The sequence below is a fragment of the Homo sapiens genome, chromosome 6 (assembly GCF_000001405.40).
Source record: "Homo sapiens chromosome 6, GRCh38.p14 Primary Assembly".
NCBI classification, from domain to species: domain Eukaryota; kingdom Metazoa; phylum Chordata; class Mammalia; order Primates; family Hominidae; genus Homo; species Homo sapiens.
In genome coordinates this window covers 122,051,948-122,065,187 of record NC_000006.12, presented here as the reverse complement: position 1 = coordinate 122,065,187, position 13,240 = coordinate 122,051,948, and the positions used below count along the sequence as shown (strand labels likewise).

General features: G+C 38.8%; 1 long non-coding RNA gene across 2 annotated transcripts in view; it reads right to left on the bottom strand.

Moving 5' to 3' along the window:
* Positions 1-9,645: 9,645 nt before the first annotated feature.
* The window catches only part of LOC105377979 (uncharacterized), a 288,164-nt gene continuing 284,569 nt past the window's right edge, over positions 9,646-13,240 (bottom strand). The window contains exons 7-8 of one of the 2 annotated variants that reach the window (XR_001744324.2): positions 11,992-12,180; positions 9,646-11,208 (exon numbers count right to left, since the gene is read on the bottom strand). This is a non-coding gene — a long non-coding RNA (uncharacterized LOC105377979). Of the gene's footprint in view, positions 12,181-13,240 lie in introns of both variants that reach the window. The other variant, XR_001744323.2, reaches the window with a different exon arrangement.

The following is a 13,240-nucleotide window of genomic DNA, read 5'->3' as shown; positions in this document are numbered from 1 at the left end:
ATGGAAGAAGAAACCTGACTTGTTTTAGGGACAAAAAAAAAAAAAGCTGGAGGATTTCTGTTGATGTCAGTCAATGCCAATTTTTTGAGCAATGAGTATTTCCAGGCATATAGAAACAGAGTAGTTTGTCTGGGACCCAGACAAGGAAGTATCTTGTTTCTCTGGTGAATAGAACTGAAAAAGGAGGCTTAATTTTGTTTCCCCTTACCGAAGTAGATAAAGATTAACTATTAATAAAATAGAAGCTTTTTCTTTATGCATCATAAATAATTGAGACCAAAACAAAACAAAAACCTGCATGCTCCTTGAAATAGACATGTGGTAAATATGATGGTAATCCCTTCAATATCTCACCTCGGATACCTGAGCCAGGATTTTATTGGTGCCAACTGCAAAGTCCATTGATAGCATTTCATCAATGCTTTTTTTTTTTTTTTTTTTGAGACGGAGTCTCACTCTGTCACCCAGGCTGGAGTGCAGTGGTGCGATCTCTGCTCACTGCAACCTCTGCCTCCAGGTTTCACGCCATTCTCTTGCCTCAGCCTCCCGAGTAGCTGGGACTACGGGCGCCTGCCAGTACGCCCAGCTAATTTTTTGTCTTTTTAGTAGAGACGGGGTTTCACCGTGTTAGCCGGGATGGTCTTGATCTCCTGACCTCGTGATCCACCCGCCTCGGCCTTCCAAAGGGCTGGGATTACAGGCGTGAGCCACCGCACCTGGCCTCATCAATGCTATTTTTTAAAACTCTCCTGCACCCAGTTAGGGGTAAGCTATTCTGCTATGCCTGTTCTGAAACCATCCCTGAATATCTATGAAATGCTTTTCTGTGTCTCTGTGGTCCAGAAGTGCTCTTCAAAGATATAAAGGAATTCATAATGTAACTACTAGTCCATATCTCCTAACAGATGAAAAGAAAAACAGCCACATTTATTTAGCATGAAGAGGTTATAGGAATTTTCAGAACAATGGCCTTTTCAAAGGTCATGAAAGTGAAGCTCAGAGATGCTAACTTTGTCCAGAAAAACTTTTCTCAATCTCAGCACTATTGCCATTTGGGGCAGAGTGATTCTTTGTTGCGCAGGGTGTCCCGTGTGTTGTAGGATGTTTAGCCCCTTCCCTGTCCTGTAACCATGAGATACCCATAACACATCCCTTTCCTACTTGTGACAAACAAAAATGTGCCAGTCAATGTCAAATGTCTTGGCGGGGGTTGCGGGGTGGCTAAATTGCACCCTATTGAGAAGCACTGGTCTAGAAACTGACAGAGCTGCAGCCAAAATGATCTTTTAGCTATTTTATTAAGTAGGAACAAAAACTATTTCCTCATCGTGAAAGCAAATAAATTTTATGCACTTAAGCATACAGGTACTAAATGTTTCTTAGAAACACTCCAGTGATGCAGGTCTCTAAGAATATCATTTGGCATCATGCAATAACCCAAAGGCTGATACATAATAGATTTGCTGGAGTCCTGGATCCAAATATATGTGTATGTTGACTAAATAAAGAATAGAATGGCATCTTTAAAATAATTTTTAAAACGTTGTACACTCAGTTCAATGACAAGTTTGATTATACCCAAGAATTAAAAAATATATATATTTTTTTCTGTCTGTAGTGAAGTAGAAAATGAAAGAATCAACAGAGAAAATGCAATGACCAGACCATTCAGCCCAGCCCAAATAAACACTTTTATTTTCTCTCCTTTTCTAAAGCAAACACAACTCAACCCAAAGTTTATCTTTTCTTCATTTGGAATTCTATTGTGGTACTCACATCACACAGAGAAAGTGAAATGTTAGTGAACAAGCATGCCTCAGTAGGGGAAACATAAGGCATTTATTACAAACGAATTCCAGATAATTAGTGGAGGAGATCATGAAATGTTCAGAGAGAAAAAAAGGGCTGAATTTCAAACAGAAGGGGGTCTGAGCCATTAACGGGTAATCTGCACGACTTTTGTTAATCCCCTGGGGCTCCTGTTACAGGTGGTTCATATTTCTAAGCAGTGAAGTATGCGAGATGAATGGAAAATTTCTCCTTAACATTTTCCACTACCCAGCCTTAGCATGAAAAGCCCTGTACCAGATCAAGCAGCTGGTTTATTACAACTTCTAATTCAGAGACATATCGCCATTCAGTTATTCCCAGCCCTTGCTACTCACCCGAGATTTTCATTTCTACATTTCCCCGGAGTAGAATTTCCTCTAGAGAAAGTGTGGAGCTATTTTTTAATATAGACTAAAAAGTGTTCTTTAGGTTTAAAAATACTGGAGAACGTGAATCAACGTTTATTAGGTTCAAGAAGGATATTTCATATTTTAAGAGAAAAAATTACGTATATTTTATGTATGAATGGCTCTAATCTCTGCCAATTGTTGCAGTAGAAATGAGTTAGAAAAATACTGATTACCTTTCCTATAAATATCATCTGAGTAGAAAGTACCAGTGTGTAGTAAAATATCTTTAATTTATTCCAATAAATATTGTAAAATAATAATTAAATGAGGTTTACTGACAACTGTACAAACATACAAAATTGAAAAGCTAAAACAAATCAAAACACAAGTGCTGTTTTGCGTGCCCCTGAATGAGAGAAAGAAATTATACATAGGCAATTTTTTCTTTCATAGTTAAATTATGCTCGTAGGTATTCTAGATTTTGATTCTAGTAAAGCTGGTCATCTTATTTCATTAAAATGCTAGGTTTTTTTCCTCCTTTCCAGAGGGCACACCATTCTCGTTTCAGTGAAATTTGTCCTAAACACCTCTCTTGATGTTAATTAATCAAAAACTATTTGTCAGTTTCTAAATATATTTAGATCTACAGCTCTGCTTAGTTCTCTGGAGATGTGAATGAAGCATAGCCCTGGCCCTAGGCCTGGAATCCTTAGAGGAGACCTCAAGGAGGTGGGATGCAAATAGAGCTTTGGAGATACGTGGAGTGTTTTATAGAAAAGGAAGAATGAAAATGGCATTAATGAGTTGTTTTCTTATGTTGTTTGCCTTTTTCTTTCTTTCTTTCTTTCCTTTTTTAGGGTAACGTCAATTTGAGCTTTTTTTTTTTTCAGCTTTTCATTAAAAATGTGGAAAATGCAAAGGGAACTTCCATAACTGCTGACAATGCATGACTGTGGTAGTGATTTGTTTCTGAACTATTTTCCCCACCTCCAGTCTCTTTCTAAGATCCATTCTCTTCTCCCCATTATCACCAGAGTTATTTTGCTTATACAAAAATTGTATTACATTACCCCTCTGTTTTATAGATTTCAGTTGGCTCTCCTTTGCCTTGAGGATAAAGTCCGAACTCCTTATCATTGCAAGTAATTAAGCTTGTTCATTATCTGACCCATACTTATCCTCTAGCCTCATTTTCTACAAATCCCCAGCTCTCTCTGTACTCAAGGGCCCAAATAATTACAGTTTCTGAAATGTGTCCTGATGTTTCACATGTCTATAACAGTAGCTAATGCTGTTCTAAGTACTTTAGGTAGATGAATTCATGTAAACCCCAAGCTACTATTTGAAGTAAATATTATCCTTATTTTTTAGAAAGGAGGAACCTGAAGCACAGAGTAATTGAGTAACTTGCAGATCATTTAGATAACAGGTGTCAGGTAGAGCCTACAATTTAAATCCAGACCTTAGTACCAGAGTTAGTGCTTTTCCTCTTTCTTCTCCCTAGGTCTGTCTGATACGGTTGAATTCATTCCTCAAGATCTAGCTTAAGTTTCCTTAAATTTTACTTTCACTGCCTCTAACTGAGTTAGTTACTAAGTCATCTGGGCCACTACTCTCGTTTAAATATTCCTCAACTGTTACTATTACAACACTATAGTATGTATATTGTAATTAATTATTGACATGATTTCTCTTAATTTAGACTAGGTTCCAAGTCTCATTTGTCTTTTTAACTCAGTCTGTAGCACTGTTTTAGTTAATAAATAAATGAATAAATAAGGAGCTAAATGAATGTCTCTTCACTTGGTTAATGGTAGATTTAGCCTTTTGCTGAATTCAAAGCCATTATAAACCTTATACAAAATCTGGGTGGTAGTGAGGTAGAAGGCAGAACTCAGGCTCTAGACCAGATTGAAGAGTAGCTCAAACAGGGAAGAAGCAAAAGCACCTCCCCATAAGATATGCCCACTCGGTCCATGTCAGTTTACCATTGCCATGGCAACACCTGGAAGTTGCCATCCCTTTCCATGGCAATAACCTGATGGTCCAGAAGTTACCACCCTATTTTTAGAAATTTCTGCATAACCTGTCCCTTAATTTGTACATAATTAAAAGTGAGTATAAATATGACTGCAGAACTGCCTCTGAGCCACTGCTCTGGGTACACTGTTTATGGGGTATCCCTGCTTTGCAAGGAATAACACCTCTGCTGCTGCTTCAATAAAAGTTGCTGCCTAACCCCACCAGCTTACCCTTGAATTCTTTCCTGGGTGAAGCCAAGAATCCTCCTGGGCTAAGCCCCAATTTGGGGGCTTACTTGCCCTGCATCAGTAGAATGATGGGTGATTTTAATTATTTTTGTTATTTTGGCTTATTTACATTCAATCACTTTTCCTTTTTTTAAAAAACTATGGATTATTTCATTTTTTTAATTTTGAGGATCTACATTAATAGTGATAAGTCCTTATGCATATAAAACTTTATCTGAAATTAAGATGTTCCATTTCTTTAAAAAAAGTTACATACTTTAATGAGGATATGTAAGATATTAACATGTAAATTAAATATACCAAAGTATTTAACTTTATTTAGTCATAATACATGAGATATTATGCTATATGAAAGTTATACTTTTATCTTCCACATTAGGCTATACAGTTAAGAGGATAGTAAAAGTGCAGTTGAATTCTTCAGGTAATGGCAACTTGGTGGACATTACCGAGAAAGCTACTAACTTTGAATTATGATGCTGGCAGCTTCAACAATGGTTCCCTGTTTCATCTTGCCCACTATGGGTGATTTTAGGATAAATAGTTCCTGGCCTAAAATGTATACAGCTTCATAGATCAAAGTCAACGCTTTGAACTGCATCCAGAAACACCCTGGTAGCCAGGGCAAGCTGTAGTGCACAGACGTTAATATGATCCATCTGCCTGAGACACTTAAGCAAGCAAGCTGCCCCTGCATTTTGGAGTAGGTGAAATGATCTAGTGGTTTTCACAACAACCCCCATTGTATCACATTGTTGTAATGCTCTGGAAAGCACAAAAATTATAGGTGAAGCAATTCTGAATCGAAAGGGAAGTTGTGAAATGTATGTAAATAGTTAAAGGAACGTTCTGGGTTTTTGTTAATACATTGATATGCAAGTACTGCAGGATTTAACATTAAGTATATTAGATATGTGTCTATGCACCAAAAGCTGGTTCATAGTCCAGGAAATTGCATTTCTTTCTTGAGCAAAATTTTTGACACTTGGTAGAATAGGTTAACAATATGTTCCAAAAGTAGTTGATATTCACCATAGAAATTTAGCTGTGGAGCTTCAACATTATGACATTTCTAAGCTAATAGAAGATAAAGTATTACTCTTTAGTAAATATTGCCAGCACAGCACATGAGTGTTCAGAAGTCAATTAAAAGTAAAATGCAACCTATTTAAGGATTCCAACACCACCCTCAAAAAAAAAAAAAAAAAATAGAGGTTGCATAATATATTATTTTCATCTAAAAAGTTGTATACAGTTTTTCTTAAGGTAATCAGAATTTTTTTAATGGAGAAGGCAATATATAAGTTAACACTTTTTAAAAATATACTCCTCATTTTTTGTAGAATTTCCTGAAATAAAATTTTCCCTCTTTCTGTTTACCATGCTACTTTAGAGGATTATTGAATCGAAGAAAACGTTAATCGTGTTCTAAAATTTTTTAAGTAAGTATATATATAAATCAATCGTCAAAAACAAAATTCAGAAAAAGGCAGCCTGGCGTGGTGGCTCACTCCTGTAATCCCAGCACTTGGGGAGGCCTAGGTGGGCGGATCACGAGGTCAGGAGATAGAGATCATCCTGGCCAACATGGTGAAAAACCCCGCCTCTACTAAAAATACAAAAAAAATTAGCCGGGCATGGTGGTGTGCGCCTGTAATCCCAGCTACTCGGGAGGCTGAGGCAGGAGAATTGCTTGAACCCGGGAGGCAGAGGTTGCAGTGAGCAGAGATCGCGCCACTGCACTCCAGCCTGGCGACAAAGCCAGACTCTGTCTCAAAAATAAAAAAGGCAATGCATTTTTACTAGTTTGCAAAAAGGCAGAAAAAGCAAAAATCTTTTAAAATGTTTATGCTTTTTAGAAATTACCATATAATATATAAAAATAATCACTAGAGATAATGGACCCTAGCACAAAGGTTGTGCTCAATTAGTTAAGGCATGTGGGTAGGTAGAACCCAGGGAAATTTTCATCCCTGGTCAGGATTTTCTGAAACTCTCCATGCCTTCACTTTGCTCACGACCATACCCTATCACTTAATGCAATGTTGACAACTGAGGTCCTACTGGGAAACTAGACAATGGTAATGGGTCTTGATCACCCAAGAGCAAGAAGCAGAGATGTAAAAGGAGAGTTTCTGTCATTGTCATTGGATGTGCCTGGGGACTTGAGTACCAGTATCCTCTCTGGCTTCTATTCTAATGCTTCTTTGGACCGATCCTTTCTCCTCATTCTAATTCAAATTCACATTCAAGTCCTGGGTTTGGATGAGAGAAACTCTTAAGTCCCTAACACCATATGCATACAAAGTTCGTAGATGAGTAGATGTTTCTTAGTTCAATAAGTACTATGTTTACTGGAAAGGAGCCTTTCTCTCTTGCTGTTGTTTATGTCTAGAATGCCATTCCCTTTCTCTGCCTCCTAGAGACTTTCTTTATTCTTTAAAGCCTCACCTAAATGAAAACTCTTTTTGAAACTTTCCTGCATTTTCCCGGACCTAGGTAACCACTCTCTTCAGTGGATTTGTATTCACAGTATAGTAACTCTAGTACTCCAATACAATTGTATGGGTGTTTACCCACCCCTTTGAATGTGAACAATTTAAAAACAATTCTCTCTTATCCAAGCATCTTCATCTCCTCTCAGGATCAGAGTAGAAGCTGACGTGATAAGTTTTGGATTGTATTTATCTGTATGGAAGAAATGTGCTGACCCACCATGCTTATCTGTGTTTATGTAAAAATTCTCTTGGATTTTTCACTATTGGAAACTCTCAAGGAGGAATGAGAGTTTGTACTGTTAGCAGTATGTTCCACTATATGATGTTCAGTTGATAAACTTGACCTCAGGACTATGTTGCATTATTTTTTGGTACATATATGTCACAGCAAATATGGTTCATATAGAGTGTAAATGGCATTGTACTGAATGTTAAGAAAATTTGTCATTAAAAAAAATGTTCCAAGACAGTACCTGAACCATACAGCACAGGTACTGTCAAGTGACATTTGTCCCAGTAAACCTCAAAGATAGTTTTATGGAATCTTGCTTTTTCAGGCAGTCCTTAGTCTGAGAGCTCTAGCAAATTTGTGAGCAAAGTATCAGATACCCCTTCAGCCCCACCTGTGATTCTCTCGGTCTCACATGTCTTCCAGGTCCTTGTCCACTTCTTCTGTCCCAGTTGATGCTATGATAGTGGTCCAATCAACTTCGTGTCTACCTGTTGCTGCAGGTTAACCGAACCCCTGTTTCGGGTAGAAGGGCTGCAGGCATACTCAGGGCTTGGGCATACGCAACTTGAAAGTGCAGGGGAGCTATGTATGTGGCAAATCTTTGCCAAATGAGAGACAGGAGATATTTAAAAAATTCATCTTCTTTCTTTTCCCTGGAAGGGCTGTCCTGAGATGTTTTATCCACATGTTCGCTCTAAAGACAATTCCATAAGATCAATTAGTGATGCTTGATTTCAAGCAGTGGCCAGCTAGGTCATGCACCCTTTGTATTTATTCTCTCCCCTTCCCTGCCTCTCTCCCCTTTATCTGTATTCCTTCTTCCCTGAGAATGCACTCCCCAATGGAGTACTAACACATAATATTATGCCCCAGGCTCTTTTTTTTCTCTAGAGCATTTGGGCAAAGATTATGTATATTCATTAAACACTTACTGGAAACTACTGCTAAGTGCTTTAAAGGGCATATAATGAATAAGGCACAATCTCTGCTCTTAAGGAAAAGATGATCAGATGATGGAGGGGCATAACCTGAAACGGATACATACAAAACCATAATATAACAGTTGTAATGGCCAAAAAGGTTCCAATGAGGAAGAATATTATTAAGAGAAATCCTTCTGTCTCTAAAATCTCTAAATCTTCATTTCTTTTCCTCCTCTTCTCAGAGCTGAGCATTTTGAGCCAACTGCCTAAAGGTAGAATGGCATTTTTCTTTTCCAAATCAAAAACTAAATAATAATAATAATTAAAAGATTATTTGTGAAAAGTGTGCAAGAAACCTGGCTCCTAGCTTTAGAATTTTGGTGTTTTTATAGAAAATTTGTTAAGAATTCCTCAAAATCAGAAGTCTTACTATAGACTCTACATGTCAAATATAAACGGGTCCAGTTAGACATGTGAGTCTCCCTGTTTCTTCCTAGTTCTTAATAGTGTCCTCATTTCATTGTCTTGGTTAATAGTATTGGTTGAACCCTCAGCTTCTTTCAGAAATGCCAGAGGTCTCACCTATAGAGAAATTCAAGATGTTTATCTCAAGATTTTTTCTGGTTTTCTAGGAATCCCTCTCCTAGCCTGCCTCTTACTTTTACATTTCCCAAAGCAGTCTTGTCATTATTTGGCCAGCCGAGGATTGGATTCGCTCTAATAAACCGAAAATTTCTCTCACTGTCCACGCCTAGCAAAGACACCCAGTAAGAATGACAACCTGCACATGCTTGGAATTGATTCTAATGCATGTGTGGAACTGAAGATTACATTAGCATCCTACTTTTTTCCCTTGGGAAACACTGATTGACTACCAAAGCATCACCACCAAACTAGGGCAGTGTTGGGGTTACTCCCAGAGCAACAGAGTCCACTTGCTATTTTAGCCCCAGATTAGTGGTTACTTTAATATTTCACTTGCACTGGCATTGGTGAGGAAAGCCAGATTATCATCAGCTGGAGAGAAAAAAATGAATAGAGAAGCAAATACAAATATTATTGACTATTTTTCACAGCTATGAAGCTGTGTAAGAACAGAGGGAGATGAAAACACAAGTGTAAGACTTGACTTTCAAATGGCATTTAGTTTACTTTCCAGATACCACACTCTTTGAAATTCATTCTTGTTTTTTTACTGTTGTTGTTTGCTGCAGACTGCTTTCCTATCATGAGCCTAAACTGTCCTTTCTGAGTGGTGTGTTTCACGATGGTTTCTCCCTGTTCTTGTTATTGAAAAGGGCACGGGGTTTCTAACTCAGAGTAAAGTAGTGATAATGCAGGCAGGTGTTCCTCAGATGCTATCAGGTTAATACCATCTTCCCTAAACAGTTACGTCAGACAGATTCCGAGAACTGGGAAAGTGGGAAAGGTGCGGGGCAGGGTAGGCACCGGAATAGGGAGGGAAATAAACTATGATTTCATTCAGTCTATCCAAAATGTCATGAGGTAAAACTTAAAGGAAGCAGTAAAATCAGAAAGAATTTCAGTCTAAGGCTTTTATTTATCAAATGTGAAAGAGAAAAAAGGTTCTGTTTAAAAACAAAGGTCTTTGGTTGATAGTTAACCCAAACAGGCAGCCTAAATATGGGAAAATTGCCCTTTTGGTTCATGGTGGTATCTTGATGGAGTAGTCCTGCCTTTCTCCCCCCTGCCTTGCTGCCAGCACACTCCATTGGCTGCTGTGCCCTGGCATGTTGGAGGGTCAGGGATGCAAGTGGCAGTGACAGCTTATTTCTCTCGGCCACAACATGGTGAAGGAGATGAAATGTTATCATGACAGCCCATAACCCACTTTTTATGAGGCTGGACCTGTTCTGAAATATTTAAACACTGCTATTTTGAACACAGAACCGTTTACGAATGATTAATAACAACATCTAGGCCCCTGCATCTGCCTCTAGAAAGAGGCAGAACCAGCTTTTTTGACTGTCACTGATAAATCGCCCTCTCTGCATCTCTCCAGTGGGAGCTGAAAACACTGCATCACAGGTCCCCATGTTCGATGCGGAGCTCAGAAAGAGTGCCCACACCTGGTTCTGCCTGGAGGAGGAACTGGCATGACTCACAATCAGCTTCGTGAAGGAGTGGGATTGCTAATGTCCTTGTAGCACTGGGCCAGAAGGAATTGGTCCTTAACTAGAAGTAGAACTGGTCAATTAAGGCTTGGCCAGGAAAAGAACAAGGAGGAAGATGAAGTGTTGGGGGAAGATTCTGAAAATCAGTGCTACACAACAGGACCGCCTCCGTGCTTCTGACTTTCCCTCCTCTCCATCCTGTGACTGAAGAGCTAAACATCTAAGATCTGTGCTCTGCCAGAAGCCAAGTGACATAGAATAGCACAAAGGCTCAACCTTGGACCCTGGAGCCTCTCCAAATCTCCCCGCCATCACATCCTGACCAATTAATTGAAGCAAGTCCCTTCATGTTCCTGAACCTTAGTTCTTTGACCCACAAAATGGGATAACTTGATAGAATTTTTGAGACAATCAAATGACATATTACTTACAAAAATGATTCATATTCCAAAAAAAATTGACAACATATAACTATACTATTAATAATAACATTTTAGGATTCACATTGATTAGAATAATGTATTTGACAAAAGTACTTTGAGGATATATCTGATGAGTCCCCAGAAGAATGCTACCACATTGCCTTTCTGTGACTTGGGACCTGGGAGATTTGGGGACATTAGACAAGATAAAGAATAATTCTCTTTCTACCTGATTGGGCCCATAGGATATAAATATAAAGGCACTTCCCCTAAATTGCAGCTGATAGGTACTGGGCAGAGAAGCTGGTTTTATTTTAGATTTATGTAGTACAATAACAATATTACAACTGAAGTACCAAAAGTTTTGAACATGAAATGTTTATGCCTATGAAATACTTAATGATCTTTCCTGCACAAGATGGAAAGGCTATCGGCTTAGAGGAAAATAACAAAATGTCCAAAAAGGAATGTGTGAAATATCTTTTGCAGGTGCACAGTTCAGGATGCTTTCTGTCATTCATCCAAATACTTTCTTCACTGAGAGATACTGAAGAAAAATAAACGACAGTGAGATTCACAGTCACAGTTTCCTCACATCACCCCGACTCGGGATGAAGAACTTGAACTTTTGTCTGTTAAAGTTACAAACTAAGAAAATAGTACAGGAGCTTTTCTAAAGGTAAAACTGGCTCTCCTTTCTTGCAGGACTTCTTGAACAGGCCCCAGACTCAGAGACATAGTCCTGCAGCCCCAAAGTCTTATCATTGTTTTTTACTCAAATGGTTTTAGTATTATTTAGGGTCTAATATTATCAATACTCTCATTTCCTATAGATTATACTTTTCTCAAGGTGCCCTGGAAACATTAGCTAAGCTCTTTTTTTCAGTGTTTTCCTTTGCCCTGAAAAAAATTAATCTGACCTACTCAAGATTGACCCATCAACCGGTTCACCTCTAGGGCTGGGAGGGTAGGGTGGCACTGTGAACACAGAAGCCTGTCAGGGTAAACTCAGCTGTTGGAGCAAGCAAGCCACCTTTGTCTTTGTGCCTCCCCTCTGTCTTTCCAGAATGTTTCTCCCACATCTTCCAAACACCGTAGCCCTATTACTCTGGCTATCCACTCCCTCCTGCCCCGCAGCCCCACCTCTGGACTTGCATTTCTCCTCCCCTCAAATGCTACCCAGACTGTCTTCAACCGCCCCAGACTCTCCCACTCTTTAGCTTGAAAAGCCAATCATTCCCTGAGCTTTTTGCTCTTGGGCAAGGGAAATGTGAGGTGAAAAATCCCTAATGTGTAGGAATAAGTGTTACTTAGAAGAATTCCAGGCAACCTTATTGAAGGGCGAGGAAGGTGGTCATTTGAGTCCTTGGAATGCCAGTGCTCGGGTCACTGTGGAAGTCAGGATGGTCCTGTAGAGCAGGGAATTGGAGGTGGGTGGCGCAAGTTGTTGTTGAATTGTGTATGTTCTGACCTCTGCCACCCAGGCCAATTTTAAAAGGAACTCTTCCTGGTGTAAAGTCTAAAAATGAGGGAGAAAAAAATCAGATTTTATTCTAAATTTAAGCTCCTATTTCTAGTCTTAGCTCACGTATGATGCGAGCAGTAGTGGCTCACATCGCATCCCAGTGGCTCACCCCTACACAGAGGCCAAAGCTCCAGAAGGTTGGCAAAATTGGCAGTTTCCAAAGACGGTCTCCTGACTAGCAGCATCAGTCTCACCCGAGGACTTGAGAGAGGTGTAAGTTCTTGGGCCTTACTCTGGGGCTCCTGAGTCAGAGCCTCTGGGGATGGGGCTTAGCAATCTGTGTTTTAACAAGGCCTCCAGGTTAGTCTGAGGCACCCTCAAGTTGAGAACCACTGTGCAAAAGGTACAGCTCTGCCCTTGCTTAAGAAGATTTGATTAAAATCACAGCTGCACTACCATTTATAGGCCAAATTGTTTCAGAAAGATTTTAAGGGAGCTGTCTTTCAACTCCCTGTGTGACCTTAAGCTGTTCACATAAACAATCTGCAGCTCTTCAGTTAGCTATAAAATGGAAATTGTGACATCACACTCGAAGCTGTTAGGAAATATGAAGTAGTATACCTGAAAAGTAGAGGAAATATGAAGTAATAAGTATGAAAGTATATTTAAAATCATAAAGCAGTATGAAAATAACAGAGACATAATTATCTTCCATCTCTCTTTTTATTTCTTTTCTTCCTTTTATCCTTTCCCCGTCCCTTTTCCTTCCTCTCTCTATCCTTTCACTCCAGCTTTTCTTCCTGCCCTTCTTCCTTACTTCTGTGTGACATATGTTATCTATAGTTCCTGGGTTTTAAATTAACCCTAAGTTCTTTAATATTGAATAAATTTACACCCCACTCTATTAAACATTGTATTTGTTTAAAAAGTCCAAATGCTTTATTTAGTGCTTGAGATACTTTTGTATCTATGAGCCTGACCATAAATGAATCAGAAATATTTGAATTTTATTTCTCTATTATCTTTTACACAAAACATGGTTTTAAAATTAAGGGAAAAATTCCTTGGCAAAATGAATTTCAGATTTGGGAAAAAAATGTTGGATGTTCCAAAC